Raw genomic sequence first — 25136 nt, 5'->3', positions numbered from 1 at the left:
CTCAGTAAACATGAATACTGACCAGGAATTAAGTAAAATGCCAGGTCCAGTAGGAGTATACGGCATAACAGCTTCTATTTATTCAACACCTTCTTTGAGTTAGTAGCTAGCTATGTTAGATGTGTATGTAAGTATATTTAATATTCCCCAATTTCAACCTGAATTAATTCAAAATCTAATGGGAAAGGCATACAAAATTATACAAACAAAGTATTACAGGGATAGAGAAGAGGGAAATATGAATTCTAAATGAGGGAATATGGGATATTTTCAAGTAGGAAATAATTGAGACTGAATTTGAAAGAGTAGATTTGAAAACCTAGAGTTGAGTCAAGGGTACATCAGAAAGAAGGAATAGCGTGAGAAAAAGCACAAAAGTTTTAGAAAAATAAATGCCATGTTAAGGGAATGACAGTCAGCTGTAGCAAGAAAAAAGCCTGGGAACAATGGAAATGACTGGATTTCATTCCGCTGCTGATGTAAGGAAGGTTGAGCCGTGTGTGACAAGACCTTTTTGGTACAGAAAGACCTCTCTGGGAGCAATTTGTAAAATGGCCTTAGACAGTCAGAAACTGGATTAGCTATTGAAATAGTTTAGGAGCAAGAAAAGAAAACCAAAATTAGAGCAGAGGCAATGACAAAGGAGGATCAGAAGCAAAAGCATTTCGGATCTGGCAAATGACACAATATTGAGATGGGGAAATTTTTAAATGATACTGAGATTTTTGAGTTTCAATAACCAGGTAAACATAAATAATATTCATTTATTTATAATAACATTTATTGAGCACCTAATAATTGTCAATCAAGGTGATAGGCACTGACCATCAGCCAAACAGCAAAATAGCAATGGACCATACTCCATAGGACTGGAAAGTCTAGCAGGAGGTTGCAGACAAATCCGTATGTCATTACAACTAAGCATGAAGAAAGCTTGCATTAATAAGTCATGTGCTTTGGAAACACACAGCAAGACACAAAGCCCAGACTGGGAAAGTCCAGAAAGATTCCTGATAGAAGTGAAAGGTGACACCAGAAAGTCTCTCTTCACCTTAGCAAGCAGAAGCTGTCCAGAGAGAAGAGACTTCCAGGCAGAGAGAGAAAAAATACTGAGGCCTAAGGTAGCAGCTGGCAGAAACTGCAGAGAGGAAAGCCTGACTAGAGCATGGAATACAAGAGAGAAGGAGACAGAGAAGTGGGAGGGGCATCTGATCAGAAGCATCCATTACAGTAGACTCATCTACCGTCCTCCTGGAAGGAAACATAAATGAACTTTTAAAGTCAGTCCATCTTGGTGATTCAGTGATGCAACTCCATGTAAAAGATCTCTCCTCTTAATACCAGAACAGTAATTCTTTAATCCCTTTGAGAATCTTATTTATGTATGGATCTCTCCTCACTCCCATCTCAACTGCGCCCCCAACAAAGAAAAGCATGCACTCATAAATACACAAAAATTCTTCATGCAATTTCTTTGGGCTCAGAGATTCCCATAAACTAAGGTTTTAAATATTTACTTTTATTTTATTTATTTTTAATCATGCTCTCTTCTTCACATTTTTTAAAAGAAGAGTAATTGTTTCAGTTACCACTGCTATTTTCAAAAATGTGCTCTGACTTCATGAGTAAGGATGGGCCCTTTTCCCAGAGAGGCTGTATAGTCTATTTTAAGAGCCAAACAGACAGGGTTCTAATCCCGGCTCCATTTCTCACTACCCACATCATCGTGGCAAGTTACACTACCTGTCTGCCTGAATTTCATTCTATGAAATGAGGACAATGACAGCACCTGCCTAACAGATATACCTCACAGGGTTATCAGAGGATTGCATAAAATAATATACTCAATGTGCTTAGAACAGTAACTGGTCCTGAAGTATTACTACAGTAAGTACAACAACAACCACAAACTCCCAGAAAAGAAAAATAGAAGAGGAAAAACATGAAAAATATTGCACTATTAACTATGAAAATGCAAACTGTACAACTGCTTTTGAGGGGAACTTAAACAGACCTAGAAATGTTGAAAATGTACATACCATATAATTCAGCAATTCCATTTCTTTGTCTGAACCCTATATAAATTGTTATATGCCTCTAAAACGACATACCTACTAAACAGATCATTGCACCCAGCATACTACAAAGCCAAAGATAAAGCCTACCTGACAATCAGTGTGGCTTATATATACAATGCAATATTATGCAGTAATCATAGTAAGTTAATGAGATGCAAATATATCAATAAGGAAAGTCCTTCAAACATGATGTTAAGTGAAGAAAACTGCAATAGGATATGTATAATATGTATATACATCTATTACAGTATTTTAAACAGAAAATGACTGACACCAATTCAAGACAGTGATTAATTCTGGGTAAGGAAGGAAAAGGGATGAAAATGAGGCTTGATTCTATCTCTGATTTTTATTTCTTAAAAGAGAGAGAGGCCAGGCAAGGTGGCTTACACCTGTAATCCCAGTGCTTTGGGAGGCTGAGGCAGGATGATCACTTAAAGCCAGGAGTTCAAGACCAGCCTGGGCAATACAGTGAGACCCTATCTCTACAAAACAATTTAAAAATCAGCTGGGTGTGGTGGTGCACACCTATAGTCCCAGCTACTGAGGATGCTGAGGTGGGAAGATCCCTTGATCCCAGGAGTTTGAGGCTGCAGTGAGCCCTCCAACCTGAGAGACAGATCGAGACTATCTCTAAAAAACAATTTAAATATAAACTTCTGATTTTAAAAAGAGGGAGAGACAAATGTGAAGCAAACAGAGCAAAAAGCTAATATTTGATTAATCTCAGTGGTGAGCACATGGGTACCCATTACATATCGACTTTGTTTCTATGTTTGAAATCTTAAAGATTTAAAAATAAAAACAAAATAGAAGTGGAAGAATTCATTACTATGCTGAACATGTAAATATAAAAATACAAACCCAATCTTAGTTCCTATTTCCTGCTTAAACTCTACTAGCTACACCTCTATCTAGAGACAAATAGCAAAGAAAATTTCTATTACTTTCCAGCCACCCTCTGTTATGTAGGCAATCAAAATACGGTAATCAAAAAGCAGGTAATTACATAGTAAATTGTTGGGAAATCAGTCCCTTTATAATTGAAAGTTTGTCTCTCCTTCCCTGAGTTCCCACAGCACTTTTAAATGTTAACAGAGCATATTATGACATCCTGCCTTATATTTTTATGTTTATGTCCTCTCTGCCTATAAACAGTACCTTGAAACCAAATTAGTCCCAGCTAGGTGTGGTGGCTCATGCTTGTAATCCTAGCATTCTGTGAGGGGGAGGCCTGAGGATTGCTTGAGCCCAGGAGTTCAAGACCAGCCTAGGCAACATAATGAGTCCCTGTCTCTACAAAAAATTTAAAAATTAGCCAGGCATGGTGGCGTGTGCCTGTAGTCCCAGCTACCTGGGAAGCTGAGGTGAGAGGATGGCTTGAGTGCAGGAGGTCGAGGCTGCAGTGAGCTGTGATTGTGCCACTTACACTTCAACCTGGTTGACAGAGCAAAACTCAAGTCTCAAAACAAACAAAACACACACACACACACAAAACCCCTCAGTTCCTTCAAAAAGCAAGCCAAAGAGATTCTGGGCGTAGTAAATGTTTACCTGCCCTTGTTGTACTGAATGTGAGAGTTGTATTCTATGCCCATCTCTCTATTTGACTATTGAATAATTTTCCATTTTGCAGTTCAGCATATCATATTTTTTAAATTATTGGATGTTATAGACTTTAAGGAATTACCACCTCTGAAGTAAATTTTTCTAATTCTTGCTCTTCTGACAAAGCCTGAGAGAATAACACAAACTGCTTTGGGTTAAGAACTGAGCAATCTTCAAATCTTTTATTTAGCTGGCTATCTAGACACGGCTGCCTTATTAGCCTTTGCCACACTTGTCAATCAGTTCCACCTAACTGATCAAGAAGCAAACATTTATCCATTGGCCTAACTATTCAGGAAGCAATTACTGTGAACTCAATACAAGTCCAGGGGTGATGCCTTCCTGCCATTAGCTAGGCTCGGAAAGCACAGAGAAAAAAGATCATTTTAATGTGACTGAATCTTTTATTTTCAGTTACAACCAAAGTGGACTAAAAATAATTCCTATATAACACTCTGATTTATTTTTGTCCCACCAATTCTAAACTTTCATTTGATGTATTACTTTAATTTGGACACAATTTATATCATGACTAGGAATTTTTAGTAAACTCCTGATGGATCCTGTTTGGCCTTTATAATTCATGACTTTCTTCTGCTTCCTGCTTGTAGACAGAGAATAAATAGTAAATAATTTCCAGACACTTTTCTCTTAATGTGTAGTTTCTTTCATCTCATCTTTTAACAAAAGTCACGTAAAGTGTTGTTTTACTTGTGAATATTGTTAACATCAGAAAATTTTTTAGCTATTTAGATGGAAATGCCCTACCAATTTGAGAACTCAACCAGCCTCAAATTTCACAGAACACAATCTTCCAGATCTAATCAATATATTAATCAATCCGCTGCCTCCATTATAATGTTAATGCCCTTCTCTGTTGTGGAGTGGTAACTGCAATACTAGAGACAAACATAATTTACTACTCCTTTGAGGTAAGTATTAAAAAAAAAAAAATTTCATCTGCTGACAGCAGAATTCTAAAAAGACTGTTCAAAGTCACACTGTCCAACACAATGCCAAGGCTAGCAAAGGAAAAAGAGAGCTGTAAAATATTCTTGTTTTTCGCATAAAGAAGAACATTATCTTTTCAATAAAAAGTTTTCCACAGGACCACAGCCAGTATTTGTTGGCTTATTAGTATGCTGGGAATATTCTAGCTCATGTTAAGATTTTCTGAACAGAAGAATAAAAACTGTTGTTTGAATTCAAAACAAAAAGCATCAAAGATAGTGAAAAGTCAAAGCTCAGATGAATACCTCACTGATTTTTGGCTTTCAAATATATTTTTCTTGCTTTCTTGCTTTAGGTAATGTTCCAAAGACAATATTGTTTCTAGGTTGTTTTAAAAGAAAAACAGTAATTTTATTGCACAATATGCTTTAATACTTCTTACTACAGAAACATATGTACTTTTTAAAGTGAATTTACAGGAAGCACAATTTGTTTTCATTAAAAAACAAATCTGGCCTCATTTATTAGAAAGTTATAAAATGGGTATATACTTTTTCTCTCGCCCTACCTATTCAACCCTTACTCATAGTATATAAATCAATGAAATAAAAGGTTTGTACTTCTGATTTAATTTACTAAAAGTAATCTCTAATAATTATTGATAAGTATCTGTTGAATTAGGTATTTTACACATATTATCTCTAATACTTACAATAACTCTAAAGGGTGTAATTCTATCCCAGAGGAAGTTTAATGAGTTTCCCCAAGATCACCCCCCAGAAGGGGAAGAATAGATTTTAAATTACAGTTGCCATCACACTAAAGTCCATGCTCTAGCCACCAAACCATGCAGCCCTAGAATGAGTCTTACTGGTTACATGAAAGGCAGATGCCCGTGTGAGTACACAGAACCCTGACCATCCCTGAGTCCCGCCTCCCTTAACCACCCCTCAGACCACCACCCTCTCACTTCATGCTCTCCAGGGCAGCCGCACAGGCCTTCCTTCAAGTCTCAGACTCACCAAGGTCTTTCTTGTCCAACATCACAACCATGAACTGAGGTTTAGATGGTCACCCAGTTTTTTTAAGTACCAAAAAGCAGTTGATTGATTGCCCTCATTTGTTATGCTATTTGTGAAAAATAGAACTTTCATTTGATAATTATTGAAGACTGAATAATTAAATGTACTTGTTTGCAATATAGATTTAGAAATGTGTTTTTATAAGTCAGAGGCCCTTGGGCAGTATTTTGAGGAGGAAAAAGAAGGATTCATGTTGGGAAGACAGAATCCAAGGACATTTAAATTAGTACTGCGAAGTGAACAAATAAACGAAAGTGAGAAAAAGAATGTGAGCAGGAGTGAGAAGGCATAAGATTATCATCATGGACCAAAAAGTGACAAAACTCAGTGCTAATAAGAGACAAAAATAAAGGCAGAAATGGAAAGAAACAAAAGTACAGAACAGGGAAAGAAAGTGACTCTGAAAAGTGCCCCAGGTTTAAGAATTGTACTTCAGTATATTAATATGATCGACTGACAGTTCTCCAACTCAAAGCATCTTATGGTATTACTCAAGTCATCATCTTCCTATTCATTTGAACACCATCAGCATTTACCCCAAACTCATATATCTTAAATATTTTTTAATGAAAAAGAATGTTGGAATACCTATTATGTGTCTAGCACTGTGAGAGGCATGAGGACACAGCAGAAGAACAAAGAGATACAGTCCATGGAGCTTACTCTCACAAGGAGACAGACAACTATCCATTAGTCCCATTTAAACATATGTTGGGACATACTATGGGCACAAAGAAAAAGGCAGAATGAGAGATTATGTTTCATAGCAATGCACTTAGATAATTAAACATTATAAAACTCTAGGAAAATTAGCAAAAAAAAGAAGATAATAACAAGTCAAGTAAATATTGTTTAAATTATCCTGAACATTTTGGGAGCAAATACATAAATAACAAAAGATACTTAATTCCTCGGATACTTCCCTTAATATATATATTCATAACATATTATGAACCAACATGCTTTTATAGAGCACTTACTGAGCACAAGGCATTCTGCGACATAAAATGGGTGAATACAGTACCTATGCCTTAAAGAAATTCATAAGCTCAAGAGAAAGACAAGATAAACACACCAGAAACAATTAGAAACTAATTTAAAAATGACCTATTATCAAATATTGACTCACCAAACAGAGATTATAAGTGATACAATTAGATAAAGATAATCACGGACCAAAAAAGCCTCATGGAGAAAGTACAGCTAAGTTGGTTTCTGCTGGAGTTTGGACTATAAAAGAGGCAGGGCAGTGTCAATGAGAAAAAAGTGTCAACAGATTTAAAATTTGCTTGAAGTTAGGGCTTAGTGTAAGAAATAACATATAGAGTTAGTTAAGACTTTTGGTTTAAAGTTATGGAAATCCAACCAGAATTTGCTGAGGCAAAAAAAAATAATAATTTATTAAGTCATGGAATACAAGGAAGGGTTATATAAGCAGGCCAGGGGAAGTTAACTATCCATCCAGATCTTGGGAATGACTGGAACCAGGAACTCCATTTCTGTGTACTGGCTTCATCCTTTCCATTAATAGCCTGGCTGGTTTTCTCCTCAGGGTGGGGACTGTGGCAGATGACAACTCCCAGTTTTTACATCTTGCCATTTCCATCATCAAATATGGAAGGATGATGGTGGTATAACCAGAATAAAGTTGGGAAGAAGTAGCAGACAGCCAATGCTGTATAGATTCACCATAAAAGTTACAGCCAAAGAGCAGAGTTGACCAGTGGAAAATGACCCCAGGTTGGTAGGAAATGACCAAACAACAAAATAAATGGAAAGCCTGGAAGAGAGTATGTAGCTAAATTGTTACCTTCATACAACACTTGGACTTACATATAATATTAATATAAGTAAAGTATGCTATTTGCACAAATAAAAACAGGCCAAAGTAAACCTTTTTGCCACAGACCAGTCTATAAGATTCATTTATTCATTACTTGAAATTCTATACTTTTTCCTCATTTTTACATCACTTATTTAAAAGTTTTTAGTAATTGTTTTACCATTACCATTTTTTTTAAAAAGTATGACTTGTACACTGAAAATTATCCAGATCTTAAGGAAGGCATCCTGAAGCTTTTAGAGATGAAAACTCCCTGTGTATATAAGTAAGCTTCAGTTGGTTCTGCAATATTGTGTGTATGTGTGTGTGTGTGTGTAAAGACAGTAATAGAGATAAAGCAAATATGAAATTTTAACAACTGTTTTATCTTGGTGGAGGGTGTATGGATATTCATTACCCAATTCCAATGTTTCAGTGTATTTCCAAGTATTCATTATAAACAATTGGAGGCAGATAGAAGCCTCATGGAAACTTCAAATTTAAATGACAATAAAATGAAAATTTAGGAAAGACAACAATGTTTCAGCAAGATGATGCAGCAAGGGTATGGTTTGAGTTACAGGGAAGAAAAAATGAGGAGCCCTAACAGTGTAATCATCCAAACAGACGGTGTTGGGGCCTAGACAGGGAAAGTGGCCATAAAAATCAAACAGCAGGAACAGATACTAAAAACACTGTCATTGGACACTTAAAAAAGAGGGAGAAGACAGAATCAATGAAGATTCCATGCCCTCCAAGTTGGATGAGTATAGAAGTGGTGGAAATAAATAAGGTCTAAAGAGGAAGCAAATCTGTTGGGTTAAGACAGTATCTTTCGTTAAACAGATTTATACATTGCCTCTTCACAATTCACCCTCTGAATGGTGGTGCAAGTGGCATAATCTCCCGCTTAGTCTCTAAAAGCCCAAAAAGACAACACACCACACAAGTACCCTGAGAACACTGGGCTAGAGCCCGAGGGAGAACAGCCATAGTCAGCCCATATGCTTCTCCTCTTAAGCCACCTGTCTCAGTGTCTCAGTTCCCCCAGCCTGGAACAGTTACAGAATTTCAGGGATTTTTAAAAATGCAAAAACTGCATGACAGGTGCTTTATGTGATAAGAACAAACTTCAGTTGTATCCACAAAATACATCAATGCATATAGCTTAAAATAAATGTGATGCCCTTTCTTCTGCTTCAGTAATTTCCAGCTAAGTGGCCTCTTGCTATGAGTGAATCTCTAGGCTAACCCGAAAAAAAGAAAATTTCATGAATATTTAAAATTCTTGATATTTATTAGTTTTCATGAACTTTCCAATTTAACAGAAGCCCAGGCAACTGCTATGTGCAATTACATTTTTTAAAAGTCTCAATTTAGATACTGCAACCACAATAATTAACAGAATATATTTTAAATCACTCACTGCCTTGTGGTGGGGTGTGGAAATGAAATTTGAGGTCACTGAAGGGGAAAGAAGAGAAGTCGTTTCATGATACATTAGGGGAAATGGCCAGGAGGCTGGTGCAGGTGGGAAAGAGAGGTTATAGGAGACATCAACACACAACTGGTCTGTGTTGTATTCGTGTGGAGGATTGACATGTTCAGAAAACAGCACAATCTGGTCAAGATGGTGACACTCCCACTGTTTTTGTGGCAGGGGAAAGTATTTCTATTATATATCAGTGTAAAGGCAAAAAGTACCAATTGCTAGCTCATAGTAGATCCCAATAAATTGATAGAAATGGGGCTTATGTTTGAATTCTGAATTCAGTTTCCTTATTTAAGAAAGGAAGATGCATTACCAGTCTGGTTTCTTCAAGAAATGTGGGCACTATGGAAGAAGCTATATTTATTTTTCTTTTCTAATAGGGAATGATAAGCCCTAAAAATAGGAAATAAAATGTAAAATTCTAGAGACTACTGGATGAAGTTTGGATGTATGTCCCTGCCCAAATCTCTTGTTGAAATGTAATCCTCAGTGTCGGAGATGGGGCCTGGTGGGAGGTGACTGGATCATGGGGGCAGATTTCTCATGTAGCACCATGCCCTGGGTGCTGTCCTTGCAATAGTCAGTACTCACAAGATCTGGTCGTTTAAAAGCGGCACCTCCCACTCTCTCTCTCTCGGTCCTTCTTTCTCTGTGTGATGAGCCTGCTCCCTCTTTGCCTTCTACTATGACTGGAAGCTCCCTGAGGCCTCCTCAGAAGCAGATGCTGCTATATTTCCTGTACAGCCTGTAGAACCATAAGCCAATTAAACCTCCTTTCTTAAAAATTACCAAGTCTCAGGTATTTATAGCAGTGCAAGAATGGCTTAATATACATGGTGTATCTTTTTCCATCCTTTTACTTTCAACCTAAGTATATCGTGATATTTGAAGTAGTTTCCTTTAGACAACGTATTGCTGGGTTACATTTCTTTTGGTTGGTTGGTTTTTGTCCATTCTTCCAATCTGTAATTTAAGTGCTGCATTTGGATCACTCATACTTAATATAATTGTTAATATGTCAGAGCTTAAGTCTGCCACTTTATTATTGCCACAGAAAGATAAAATAGATCTCAGTCAAAAATTAAAATAATTTCCTTTTTCTTCCTTTCTACATAATTTCTAGACTCACTTTAAGTGTGCTTTCTTCTGGGAAACTCAGGCCAAATTACTTTCCCCCATACCTGTTTCCACAGTAGCTATACACACCTCAAATATACTTATCACACTATTATTATGTGTGGTCTTTTTATCTATGTCTCAACTGAGTGTTCTCTGCAAGCAATGATGATGTATTTTATTTCTATATATTTGGCACCATGCATGGTATCTGGCACATAGACATTCAATGAGTTTTGTTTAAAAAGAAAAAAAAATAGTGAAATCAGTCTTGTAGGAATCTTGTATATTCTCACCAACCCTATGGATAAACTGGCATATGATGTGTTAAATTTGCATAAATGCCAAATTTTGCTTTTCGAAGCAGGTATTGCTCTTCATCCAAAACCTGTATACTTTGACCACTTCAGTCCCAAGGTCCTACAGCCTTTTCCCTACATAAGATCCTTTTGTTATATACTCTGGAGAAGCCAGCTCAAGCATGTGAATGAAAGAACATATTCAATTACCCAAATAATTATCTATACCGAGACCTTCATTTATTCATTCAATAAATATTTATACAGGGATATAGCCCCAAGCAAAGCAATTATTGTACCTGGCCTGATCTGGCTTCCAAACTAAAGGAAAAGATAAATATGGAAATATGGAACAGATGCCTAGCCACCAATTAATTACAGACCTTTCACAAGTAGGAGATGCCTCTGAGAGTGCATAACAGAGGAACCTAGCTCAGACAGGAAAGTCAATGAAAAACCTTTTTTTTTTTTTAAAAAAAAAAAGTGGTATTTAAGCTAATATCTGAAGTTTGAATGTAATTATCCAGGTGATTGGGGTGGAGGATGGGCACTGCCTGTGTTGGATGTGGGTAGTGTTAAAAACAGAGAAGCAACCTGTGTTAAGGCACTGAGGCACAAAACCTGTCACTCCCGAGGTACAGAGAACTGAAGCAATGATGAAGTAGGAAAGAAGCTGGAGTTGAGACTGCAGTAATGAATCATGCAAAGCCTTACAGGTCACATTACGATTTTTGACTTGGTTCTCAATGTAACTAATGTGTACTTAAAAATAATCAGCATAGTAATCAGCATAGAAGGGCAGGGTTGGGAACGATCCCCAAGGCTTCAATAGGAAATTTGGATTTCAGAGCATCAAGAATGGACATAAGGAGGCCGGTTGATGTGCTAATATGAGCTAGTGCTAAGAGTAACCTGAGCCAGAGCAGAGGCAGTAAAGATGGGGAAAAATTAACAGATGAGGAATATATTTAGAAAGTAGACTCCTAAACGGAGTTTGCTGATAGATGAAGAGGAGTGTAGAGCTAGTAGCAAGCACAGCATCAACTACACTCACTCACTGGCTGCTGGAGCACTTTATTGGTTTTTAGTAACAATTAGGAAGGAAATATTTATTTTGGCTGGCATGCTAGGAAATCAAAAGTCTAGTTTTATTATTAAACTGTGATACCTGTGATATATCCACATAAAGATATCAAAATAATTGGTAGATATATTCAGAAGTGAGCTCTGGGGAGTCTTAGAATATAGATGATATTTAAAGCAACTGGAGTGGATATGACCACCTCGGGGAGAGGAGGCTGAGAAGACAGTCACAGAATGTTAAACAGAAAAATAAATTTTGTTTCCACTTTCATGTTTTAGAATGTAAGGATATTTTAATGATCTGTATATTAGTTTCAAATGTTATGATTATAATATTAATATATAATTTTCAATATAATGTAATTATTAGAGAACAAATTATTTGAGTTATAGACTTTCTACTGTACTATTGATAAGGAGTATTGATAAAGAAGAAAGGGGAGTAAATTGGGCCAAGGTTGTTAGAGCCATGATAGGAACATGTACAGTCGCTGCATAGCATCCTGATCTTTAAGCCACTCCTTATAAACAGAAAGCACAATCACCACAACAGGACTGGGATTTGTCAGGGGTGTCTATATCTTTTTCACCTTTATTTCTATGCCCTAGCTTGTTCTCTAAAGCTGCAGCTTTCCAAACTCAACACATGCTATTATTTATCTTTGGAACACCAGAATGTGCCGAGATACAAATTTCTCCTTTTGGATTTCCAAGTGAAAGATAAATTCTGTTAAGATAGAGCTAGTGCTCAAAGTACAGAAATTCTCCCTGCCATTCACTCTTCATAGTCTCTTGCATTTCCAGTGTAATCAGTTATTAATGATATCATGAGAAGTGTGAATCAAAAAAAGAAAAATATGGGTTTCACTGAGTTTAGAGATGATATTAATTCCAAAAGCCTGGAACAGCATTGGTGATAAAAATAGCAAGTTAAATTACAGATTTAAATCACTGTAGACTGAAATTACTATTTTGACCCCAAAACAGCTTAGAGACCAAAGATTAATACTTATCTCAGGAGAGAGGAAAAGGTTTAGGTTTTTATAAATGCCTTCTTTGGGAATTACTAACAACCAGAGTAAGCCCTCATCTGCTAAAACTGATTGAGGTTTATAATCAGGCCTGGAGGGATTAGATGACTGGAAAATCATCAGAGCCCATATTAAGATTAACTCAATCTCAGTGACTATCTTTCAGTGGAACAGCCATGAGCCAAAATGCAGAGAGTTTCTGGATTGACTGCCAATGAATTCTGAACAAAGGGTTTTTTCAGGTATAAGGTATCCCACCCGTTTATTACATAACAAAACCTAGATATGAATCAATTTCAAGTCATGCGATTTATCAGAAGATATTTATTACATATTGGCAACCATTCCACCAACAGAATGGAGAAACTAATGCTGAAAGAAGTGACGGAGATACATGCGTTCTAAGCAATCACATCTTTTAAGGGTTTAGAGCCTTCTGGTTGGATTGGTTATATGGCTGTCATGCTTGCTAATTTTACCCATCATATCTGCACAATAACAACAACAAAAAACCTTCACAGGTTAAGAAAACACAATGTTTTTTGAGTCTAAATGTTATTTGAGTCTGAATGTTATCTTTGTTCTCTTACTGAGTCCACTTACAAAGGCTTAATTAACCATGGTAGGTTTTCTGACCCCTTTCAGGGGTCAGAGATGCCTTTGAAAATCTCAAAGCACATTGAACGTTAGATAATTGCAGATTGTCTAATTAGTTTCAGGGTTCCCAGGAACCCCCTACACCCTTCTATTGGCTCCCTTGAACCTCTGCGTTGCCATGAGGTAGGAGGCAGGACTCAGACAACAGACCAAACAGAGGACTAGCTAAAACAGGGACAGGGCAGAAGCAGCTTTCCATAAGACATGTCCACCAGTGTGCCATGGCAACAGCCTGGAGTTACCACCCCTTTCCATGGCAAAGACCCAACAACCCAAAAGCTACTACCTCTTCCCTAGAAATATCTGCATAAACCATCCTTTAATGTATATGTAGTTAAAAGTAAGTATAAATATGACTGCAAAACTGCCCAGAGCTGCTACTCTCTGCCTATGGGGTAGCCCTGTGCTGCAGGAGCAGTCACGAAGTTATAACACCATAGGAGCTGTAACACTGATGGTTTAATCAAGCTGCTGTCTTCTACTCTACCACTGACTCACCATTGAATTCCTTCCTGGGCGAAGCCAAGAACCTTCACAGGCTAAGCCCCACTTTGGGGCTCGCCTGTTCTGCATCAATAAAGTATAAAGGAATGAGAGTCCCTTACATATACATGGGGGCAAAAAGATTCACTACTTGGGAGGTCCTTCCTCCTCCACAGACTGTTGACTTACCTGACTCCCTCTCTCTTCTCTTGAGCCTCCAAATCTTCACTTCCAACATCTTTACATCCTACATTTGCCAAGCTTTATCGATGCATAGACTTCTCTCCTATTTGAAATATTATACTATGGTACAGAAGCAATTTTAAAATACACATTCTTTTGACTCCTCTGATTCACAAACTTGAAGCAGTTGGTAGTGAAAGTTTTAGATTATGAACAAGCTCAACCCTTATCAAACTTGCTATGAAGGAAATCAGCAAATTATCTTTAACTAACAGTTTTATGAGACTTTGTAATTTCCAGTGTTACCACACTGGAATGAAAAATGAAAAATTTCTTTTAAGGGTGTCTACCTTAAAAGAATGTCTTTTAAGAGTTTCTAGCTCGTGTCTTACACTTTTCAAACACTGCCAGTGCAAAGAACATAAGAGAAGGTCATTTTTACCTCCTTCTAGTTCTAAGAGCCTATGATTCCAAGAAAGTTTATTATAAAGCATAGATATTAGTATAACCCGGGAAGGGAATACTTCTGTTTTTTTAAAAAAATTATTACATATTTTAATCAACATTAGGCATTGCTTTATTGTAAATAGCATTAGATCAGATTAGTTGTTTCATACAATACTATAAAAATAATGTTTATAGTCAAAATCTGATTAATATAAAGAAAGTGAAATTTTTAGAAGTATTAAGTCATAGGTTTTCTGCTAAACCTCCAGAATCAAACAGCACAAATATATTGAAAAATATACTTCAGGAAGTACTTATTTTATGAAGAGAAGTTATTTGTCTTTAAATACAAATACTTTGAAAGTACCAGTTCATTTAAATATAAATAAGTAAATGGGTTTTTTAACTTCAGGTATACAAACCGAATTAACCATAATCCCTTGCATGACACACCCTTATCATTGCTCCATGAATGGTTCGTTTTACTTAAATAGTTAAATAAATTCTACTATGCCCATTATTTTGGTGATATTTTTTCCCCTTACACAAAAGCATGTTCTTCATCTATTTCATTCTTACAGTAAATGGATATTTTTCTGGTAATCTTGTTTCAGTCACCCAGACATTTATTAAAAAAAAAACCCTACTCATGCAAATGTCAAAGAACATTAGCAGCATGTTTCAAGTTTTAAAGAAACATAATTCATTTAATTATACTGAGCCATAATTTGACATCTTAATTTTTACCCTTTCCCAAAACACAGGAAAGGAGGCAAGAGTGGAATGGGTCACAAACTCCAGGACATCTGCTGTCGCTAACTCCTGGTTATAGCTAATCCATTAGGAAAAACAAATCACCTACCTACCCATCCTGTTTCTGTTTGTGTCATGTTCCTATTATTAAAAAGCAGAGGAATCGGTCAGTGGGAATAAAAGCATGAACACTGGTTTTATTTTATTTCAGAAAGGACAAAGGATATGGAATTTTATAATGTGTTCGGAGCTCAGGGTCCTCACAGCATGAGCTATGAGTTGAAAGTGAACATTTCTACTGGTTGACTGGTCAACTGCTCACATAAAGCCCAGCTAGCATTTGGATCCACACATACGAATTGCTGTTGGTTCAGCCAAGTAAACGTTCTACATCTCAGCAGAGCTAACAAGTGAATTAAAAATACATAATTTGTCCAGGCACAGTGGCTCACGCCTGTAATCCCAGCTACTTGGGAGGCTGAGGCATGAGAATCGCTTGAACCCAGGAGGCAGAGGTTGCAGTGAGCTGAGACTGCACCACTGCACTCCAGCCTGGGGGACAGAGTGAGATCTTTTGTGTGTGTGTGTGTGTGTGTGTGTATATATATATATACACACACACATATTATATAATTTATAAATGATATTTCTTTACTGAACAGGAACAAAACTGAACAAGAAGTGATTATACTGGCAAATGAAATATTTACTTAAATTTTAAATTATTCCCTAAATTATGATGATATAGAAATCTGCTTGAGGAAGAAAAAGCATATTAAATAGAAGTTGAAATGTCACATATAAATGAAATTAATTTTAAATCTTACTTTTGGTGTAAGATATAGAACCTTAATATGGAGAACTTTGGCATTATTAACTCAAGGTTTGAAGAGTAATACATTACTGAGGCATGTTACAGTTCTGGTTCACTAGGTCCCTGAGGCATATTTGACACATTAATAATGATGGAAAGTGATTACCATTTCCCTGACACTCGCTGCCCTACCTGAAATGGCACTCTGAATCACTCACTCATTTTAGGCCCAAATAAACTGGCCTTATATTCACAGACATTATTAACAAGTATGTAAAAATACAGCCTAGTCATTGTGACACGAACAATCATAAAAGAAAAAAAATTAAATGGCACAGAATCTGATATGTCTTGGACATGTGAATTGTGCTGATGCAAAACGCCAATTAAAGAGGCATCTCCAAACAGAATCTTCAAAGCAAACAGAGCTGTTTTCTTACGCTCACACAGTTATATAGCAATTAATGTTTTGGTCAACAGACCACATATATGACAATGGTGGTCTCATAAGAGTATAATACCATTTTTACTTTGCCTTTTCTATGTTTAGATACACAAGTACTTAAAATTGTGTTACAAGTGCCTACAGTATTCAGTATAGTCACATGCTGTACAGATTTGTTGCCTAGGAGTGATAGGCTATGCTATACAGAATAGGCGTGTAGTCAGCTGTACCATTTAGGCTTGTGTAAGTACACTCTATGATGTTCACAGAATGACAAAATCACCTAATGACGCATTTCTCAGAAAATGTCCTTGTTGTTCAATAATGCAGGACTGCATTTCATGACCACACATAGCTTTCATGGTTTTAGACTCTTCCAGGTAAGTATTTCAAAGCAAACTTTACCAATAGCACATACAAAATAGTGTATCCATTTCCTAGCTAAGGCAACTTGGACAAAAGGAAATTAAGAAACATTACACTAAGCCAAGTAAATGAATGACAACAATACCAGAGCTAACCTAGTCAGACAGAACATTGAAAGAGAATCAAGTTCAATATTTATATACTTGGGGGAAGAGCTTTGTTTCAGAAAAATAATTGGTACAGTTTCTACTTACTCACATTAAGAACACTATAAAACTGCTACTAAAACAAACTGGACTCAAATTCAACACAATGGCATATGTTTTTCAACCTGTTATCAATACCAAGAAATAACTCCTTTTGGTTATTAAAATCCTGGAAAGAAATCATAATTACCCCATCTGGGAATATGGCCTTTGAGGCATGATTACTTGGTTAATTTCAAATCCCACTTTTCCTATTGATTTTTCAAATTCCTTGAACAGAAAAAAGTAAGTAAATAAGTGCTTTCATGGATGGGAGATTTAAGTGGCTACAAAGGGCAAGAGAAAATGGTGAGATGTAGGACAAAAAGTACAAAGTAGCAGATATGTAAGATGAGTAAGTCTAAAGACCTAAGGTACAGCATGAGGACTATAGTTAGAATATTGTACTGTATACTGGAAATTTGGTGAGAGTAGGTTTTGGTGTTGTTACCACACCAAAAAAGGTAACTACATAAGAGGATGGATATGTTAATTTGTTTGACTATAGTTAACTATTTCACTATGTATAAGCCTATTAAAATATCATGTTGTTATAATATAATATGTACAATTTAAAAATAAAGTTAGCCAGGTGCAGTAGCTCACATCTGTAATCCTAGCATTTTGGGAGGCTGAGGTGGGCAGATCACCTGAGGTCAGGAGTTTGAGAACAGCTTGGTCAACATGGTGAAACCCCGTCTCTACTAAAAAAAAATACAAAACTTAGCCAGGCATGGTGGCAGGCACTTGTAATCCCAGCTACTTAGGAGATTAAGGCAGGAGAATCACTTGAGCCTGGGACGCAGAGGTTGCAGAGTGCTGAGATTGTGCCACTACACTCCAGTCTGGGCAACAGAGCAAGAGTCCGTATGAAAAAAAAAAGTTAAAGAGAAGTTTAAATTATTTTAAGAAAAAGTATACAGTAATACTACACATTAAATTTCATTATTTTTAAAGTAATCATCTTAAGAGAGGTAAGTTCCTGCTACATAGAATATTGGGGAACAAAAACATTTTTCACCGCAAAAGTGTATCAGTTGGCCAAGCAATTCCACTCCTAGGCATTTATCCAACAGATATGAAAACATATTCACACAAAGATTTGTATAAGAATATAGCAGCTTCATTCAGAATAGCTAAAACTGGAAACAACCCAAATACCCCTCAACAGAAGAATCAATAAACTGATCTGTGGTAATTCATACAATTTATTCAGCAATAAAAAGGAATAAACTACTAAATGTGCTACAAAATGAATAAAATCTGTGGAAATTATACTAAGCTGAAGAAGCTGGACACACGCCATGGATTCCATTTTGTGAAGTTCTATAAAATGCAAAATTAATCTATGATGAAAATGAAATCAACACATCAGATGTCTCCAGGTGAGGGACAGGAATTGCCTGGGAAGGGGCTATGAAGAAACTTTCTAAGGTGATATAAACATCTATATCTCAATAGGGTGATGTTTATATGGGTATATCTTTTTGTCAAGAGTGTACACTAAAATATGTACATTTCACATATGTACATTTTACCTCTAAAAGGACCTATTAAGAAAAAAAAAACAAAACTCAGTCCATACTACCCGAAGCAGTTTACAGATTCAATGGAATCTCTATCAAAATACCAATGGCATACTTCACAGAAATAGAAAAAAATAACCTAAAATTTACATGGAACCACAAAAGGCTCCAAATAGCCAAAGCCACCCTGAGCTAAAAAAAAAACAACAAAATTGGAGAAATCAAATTACCTGACTTGACATTATACTGCAGAGCCATAGTAACCAAAACAGCATTGTAACTGGCATAAAAACAGACAAAGAGACCAATGGAACAGAATAGAGAACCCAAAAATAAATCTATTCATCTACAGTGAACTCATTTTCAACCAAGTTGCCAAGAACATACATTAGGGGAAGGACAGTCTATTCAATAAATAGTGCTGGGAAAACTGGATATCCTTATGCAGAAGAATAAAACTAGACCCCTATCCCTCACCATATACAAAAATCAAATCAAAATGGATTAAAGATTTAAATCTAAGACCTCAAACTATGAAACTACCACAAAAAAACACTGGGGAAATTTTCCAGGACATTGGTCTGCACAAAGATTTATTGAGTAATACCCTACAAGCACAGGCAACCAAAGCAAAAATGGTTAAATGGGATCACATCAAAAGCATCTGCAGAGCAAAGGAAACAATCAACAAAGTGAAGAGATAACCCATAGAATGGGAGAAAGTATCTGCCAACTATCCATCTGACAAGGGATTAATAACCAGAATATATAAGGAACTCAAACAATTCAATAGGCAAAAAAACCCAATAATCCTATTTAAAAGTAGGCAAAAGATCTGCATAGATATTTCTCAAAAGAAAACACACAAATGGCAAACAGGTATATGAAAAGGTCTCAACATCACTGATCATCAGAGAAATGCAAATCAAAACTACAATGAGATCTCATCTCATCCCAGTTAAAATGGCTTTTATCCAAAGACAGGCAATAAGAAATGCTGATGAGGATGTGGAGAAAAAGAAACCCTTGTACACCACTGGTGGGAATGTAAATTAGTACAACCACTATGGAGAACAGTAGGAGGTTCCTCAAAAAACTAAAAATAGAGGTACCATATGATCCAGCAATACAGCTGTTAGGTATATACCCAAAAGAAAGTAAATCAGTATATTGAAGGGATATCTGTACTGCCATGTTTATTGCAGCACTATTCACAATCGCCAATATTTGGAAGCAACCTAAGTGTCCATTAACAGATAGTGGATAAAGCAAATGTGATACATATACACAATGGAGTACTATTCAACCATTAACAAGGATCAGATCCTCTCATTTGCAACAACATGAATGGAACAGGAGGACATTAAGTAAAATAAGCCAGGCACAGACAAACTTTGCATATTCTCACTCATTTGTGGGAACTAAAATGTAAAACCATTAAACTCACGGAGATAGAGATTAGAATGATGGTTACCAGAGTCTGGGAAGGGTATTGGGAGTGGGGAAGAAGTGGGGATGGTCAATGAGTATAAAAATATAGTCAGGTAGAACGAATAAGATCTACTACTTGATAGCACAACAGGGTAAATATAGTAAACAATAACTTATTGTACATTTTAACATAACTGAAAGTATAACTGGAATGTTTGTAACACAAATGATAAATGTTTACCCTGATGTGATAATTATACATTTTATGCCTGTATCAAAATATCTCATGTAGCCCATAAATATATACACCTACTGTGTTCCCATAAAAATTAAAAATTAAAAACAAATCCCACGTAGTGGAAACAGGTAGAAGTATGGGTGAAAAAACAATGGCAGAATTTTGACCATTGTTAAAGCTAGGTGACAGGTATAGGCTTTTATTACACTATCCTGTTTACTTTCTATATATTTAACATCTTGCGAAATAAAAAGTTTAAAAATAGATATCACTGAAATATGCAATCAAAAATTTTCACACCATGAAAATATACCTCTCAAGAAGCTTTCTCTGTACTGAAAAGACATTTCTATGATCCCTGGAGATCCCCTGTGTCTCTGCTTCACATGGAGAATTTTAAATGGAGCTCATTATTTTTCTCCAGCTCCTCTCTCCCCCAACCCCAGCATGCCTCCCATCTAATGGGCCATCAGAATTAATATAATATGGTTGTCCCAACTACCACTAGCTCCCAGATTAATTCTTCTCAGGACCCTCAAATATTTCTAACAAATACTGGTACAGATGGAGAAATAAGAGCTGTTGTATACACTGGAGAAAACAATTGATTTGATGGATACCAACCTTAGTCTTTATTTTCACTGCTCTCTGAAGATGGAGTTTTTATAAGTTAATGAGAAAATGGAAATGTACTTTTTTAAATCCTGATTTTTAAAAAATGTTCACATTCAAGTTTTTTTTTAATCTTGCTTTCTTGTTTCTCAGCAATACAAAGAGACATAAATTTTTAGAATAATAAAATCCAGAGAATACTAAGCAAAGGCAATGGTGAGTTTCTCTACTATGGACTGATAAGGCTTAGTCATATATCAGTCATTGAATGTGTCATATTTGTTTTCTAAATTTTGCCTGAGAAAAGTCCTACAGTTTTTCATGTGGCATGTCCAAAGAATCAGAAGCATCATACAGCGGTAAAGAATGAATGCAAGCTCAATCACAGCTATTTAAAGGTATATATGTTAAAATCCTCCTAGGTCATAAGAAGATTAAGTATACTCAGGTAAAGAATTATGGTTCATGCTTGTAAACCAACATTTTGGGAGGCTGAGATGGGAGGATTGCTTGAGCCCAGAGTTCCAGAGTTTGAGGCTAGCCTGAGCAACAAAGCAGGACCCTATCTCTACAAAAAGAAAAAAATTAAAAATTAGCTGGGCCCAGCGGCACGCATCTGTAGTTCAGCTATTCAGGAGGCTGTGCCCAGGAGGTTGAGACTGACTTGAGCCATGATCACGCCACTGCACTCAACCCTGTCTCAAAAAAAACCCCAAATTCTTCACAAAACCCAATAAGTAGGCCCAAGTATAGGTATCAATCAGTTTTCTGTAGTCAGCATAAGATAAACACTGAAATTAACTAAAATTAAAGATCCAAAATTTACATACTTTATAACTTCTACTTACAAACTTTCCTACATAACGTTTATCTTTATAAATCCCCTGCTAAACTCCAATGGAGAATTTATCCAATGAAGACGAACAAATGCTGAGAAAGTGAATTCATTCATTCATTCATCCATCCATCCATCCATCCATCCATCCATCCATCCGTCCATCCATTCAACAAATGGTTGAATGTCTATGGGTACCAACCAGGTGCTCTTCGAGATACTAGAAATATAGCAGTGAACAAAACAAAGTCCATGTTTTCACAGAGCTTATGTTCTATCAAGGGAAAAACAGGCTTATTAGAACAGCTGAGAATAATGAGTACCATGGAGGAGAATGAATCTGGGTAAGAGCAAAAAGGATGTGCAGATTACTATTTTAAACACCTGGTCAGGAAAAGGTCTGTCAGTTACTGAGACACTTGAGCAAACCTGAAAAATGTGAAGTTCCAGAATTCCAGGCAGAGAAAATGGCAAGTGCAAAGGCCAAACACTTGGGTCCACTTGCAAGCTAAAGAAAATAGAGCTAGTGTGGCTACAGTGGAGAGAGTTAGGGTAAGGGCTAAAGGAGACGGGAGGAAAAGGAGGATACAAAGGATCTAGACCTTGGTAGGCCATTTTCACGATCTGGGCATCTAGTATGAGAGAGACGGGAAGCCATTGGAGGAGTGTGGGCAGAAATGATCCTATTTAATGTTTTTTTTTTTTTTAAAGATCGCTAGCTGTGTGAGGAGAACAGACAGTAGGGAAACAAAGGTTGAAACAGGAAGACCAGTTCAATGGAGAGATCACAATGCATTCAAAGGAATATTTTAACTTCATTTGTCTATAAGCTGTGTTGCATTATAAGACTCAATATTCCAATAACTAAAACAGCAATCAATTGAATTACTCCCTTGTTTGCCACTGGCTTGGGTAATTAGAGTTTTTGAGGAAGAAGAATCATCATAGGTTACTTCTCAGGTTCTAGTTTGATCTATCGAAGAGTGTGGTTCCTTTATCTCAATCTAATAGGTAAATAAAACAAAAACTGCTAATTTCCCAGACAATCAGCTTTTTCAGAATATTCCCTCACAAATATCAGAAAGCAAACATTTTAATTTGCATGCTGGATTCAGGTTTCATATTATTGCAGTAGTTCATAACCCTAATCACAACATATATATATATATTACAGTAGTCAAAATTCATTTAATATTCCTGAAAGGTCCATTGAAATAAAAATATACTGCAAACCATAAAACCCACCAACACTCTCCCAGACTTCGGCTTCATAGTGAATTTATGAAATATCTCTATTAATGAGGCCAATCAATCTGATATATCCAATTTCCTTAACTTTAGCGAACAGTATGTCTAACAGCAGCCTCACCCAAACCATATTATCACTTTCAGTTATTAAAAGCTGGGTAGGAAAACCACCATACACTGTATACCTTTCAAGACTTTTAGCCACACTTGAGTGTTATTAATTGGTTTAAGAGGGTGTCAGAAACACATGCTTTCCTGCACACTTTGGTGATTTCATCCTATGCTCAGAGCACTCTGATAAATTAAATCATCCTGGCTGTGTCATGAATCGCAGCTGGCATGCCTGTGTACTGCTTTTTGACGATGAGCAAGCAATACAAAATGTGATGCTGATTCCACTCTTTCAAATCTCATTTTCAGCACTCATATAGTGTTACCAGGCAGGATTTTAAAACAAAAACAAACGTCATAATAAAATTCACTTTGGTTTCACAAAACCTAAGCCCTCGTGCCAGAAAATTGGAGGCTTTTTTTCTTTCCAAATAGCAGACAAGAATCTACAGCCATGAAGCGAAGTGGGTTGCGGGGTAGGGAGATGCAATATACATGGATAATCTAGCTATTTGCTTACCGATGGAGCTTTAATGGGGGGAAAGAGGGAGGAACTGCGGAACTGTTACAGCCACCTATACTACAGCCGTATTTCTACACCTTCACTGAACAGTGTCAAGAATCTGCCTCATTTAAGTTCTACTAACAAGTAAGGAGATTTCTCTCTCTAGGGATAGGCTTTTGCTGTTCTAACACCACTCCAGACTTCACCTTATGTGTCCCCCTCTCCTTTTCCCTTTCCTTCAATTACAAACTCCTGTTTTGTTTTGCTTCATCTTATTGTACTAAAAGAGTTCTTTGCAATAAGATGAACCCTTAAACCCTTCCTGGGGTAAAGAGAAAGAGAAATAAATAATAAAATATATAAAGATTTCTCTCTTCATGGCTAAATTTAAATATAGCAGGCATGGAGAAATGGTGAAAAGGGGTGTGTGGGTGTCCATGGCAAGATTTCTCAGTCTCTAGGAGAGAAAAGGATAGAGAACAAAATGTTTAAGGGATTTAAGAACGGTGTGTGTGTGTGTGTGTGTGTGTGTGTGTGTGTGTGTGTGTGTGTTACAGTCATTCCCAGGGCAGAGGGTAGAATTCAGGAAGAAGGGAGGGAAAAGAAAAAGATCAATCCAGGCAGTCACCCACCCCCAGCCTTCCCGACCCCTCTCCAACCCACCGCAGTGCTCTGAGCTGCTCAGAAAGCTCATTACCCGGAGGGCAGATTCCCGACACCAGATCAAGGGACCAAAGGCTGGGCAGCCAGTCTGGGGAGAGAGATCGGGAGGGATGGTGACAGGAACGAACGAGGATAGGAATGGATAGGGAAGGGGCGAGGAAGCCGGCGAGGCCCTAAGAGATCGCCGGCCGAGACTGAAAGACCGGGCTGGGCAGCCAGGACCTACCTGGAACCGTCAAGGTGGAGGTTGCCCCAGGCACCTCTGTCCTCTCCTCCTCAGCCTCCTCCAGCTGCTTTTGCTGTTGTTGTTGTTGTTGCTGCTGCTGCTGCTGCTGTTGGATGAGGCTGAGGTCGGAGCGGCTGAGTTCCGCTCTGGCGGCCGCGGGGACCAGCCGCGCTTTCAGCAGCACCACGGCCAGGCCGAGAAGCAGGGTGCAGGGGACACGCCGGCAGAGCCTCGCCATGGCCTAGAGCCAGAGGGCCGCGGCGGCATATTGCGGGGCTCCGGGCGGCGGCGGGCGCCAGGGCTGCGGGCTCCTGGCAGCGCCCGCTCGCTCGCTCCCCCTCGCGCAATCTGCCAAGCACTCCCTCACCGGCAGGAGGAAGAGGCCCGGGAGGCGGAGGGGGCGGAGGAGGAGGGAAGGGGAGTTCGCATCCTCGCGCATGTGACGCGCGGGGAGGGGCGAGCCGGGGCCCGCGGTCCCGCGCCCCGCAGCCACCTGGGGCCAGGCTGCTCCGAGAGGACGCGATGCTGGGGCTGCAGCCCGGGTGGAGGGCCCTAGGGGAAACAGAAAGGGGAGGCCTTCTGGGAGCTGGTAGACCCTCACAGCGTCCACTTCCCACTGAGGCACCGGGAAGATTTGCAGAGAGTGGAATAAAATTCCTTCCACCTGAGCCCAAAGTAGCAGAGAAGGTGGTATATTGATTACCCCCATCCAGCACATAGCGTGGGTGGCACCAACGGATCAAAAAGCCAGGATCTCAAACAAATAGGCTTTGCTGCATCACCGCC

General features: G+C 37.7%; 1 protein-coding gene across 1 annotated transcript in view, besides 1 other annotated feature; it reads right to left on the bottom strand.

The window, feature by feature from the left end:
* The window catches only part of FAM171B (family with sequence similarity 171 member B), a 71900-nt gene extending 47198 nt beyond the window's left edge, over positions 1-24702 (bottom strand). The window contains exon 1 of the mRNA NM_177454.4: positions 24351-24702. Within this exon, the coding sequence (NP_803237.3) occupies positions 24351-24588 (238 nt within the window). The 5' untranslated portion in view covers positions 24589-24702. The remainder of the gene's footprint in view (positions 1-24350) is intronic.
* Positions 24539-24898: a silencer, noted in NCBI's record as "silent region_12169". NCBI's record gives its function as "represses an Ori minimal core promoter by ATAC-STARR-seq in GM12878 lymphoblastoid cells {active_cell/tissue: GM12878}" and the evidence as "EXISTENCE:reporter gene assay evidence [ECO:0000049][PMID:35858748]".

The sequence above is a fragment of the Homo sapiens genome, chromosome 2 (genome assembly GCF_000001405.40).
Source record: "Homo sapiens chromosome 2, GRCh38.p14 Primary Assembly".
In the NCBI taxonomy this organism is placed as follows: Eukaryota; Metazoa; Chordata; class Mammalia; order Primates; family Hominidae; genus Homo; species Homo sapiens.
This window is presented reverse-complemented; position numbering and strand designations above follow the sequence as displayed.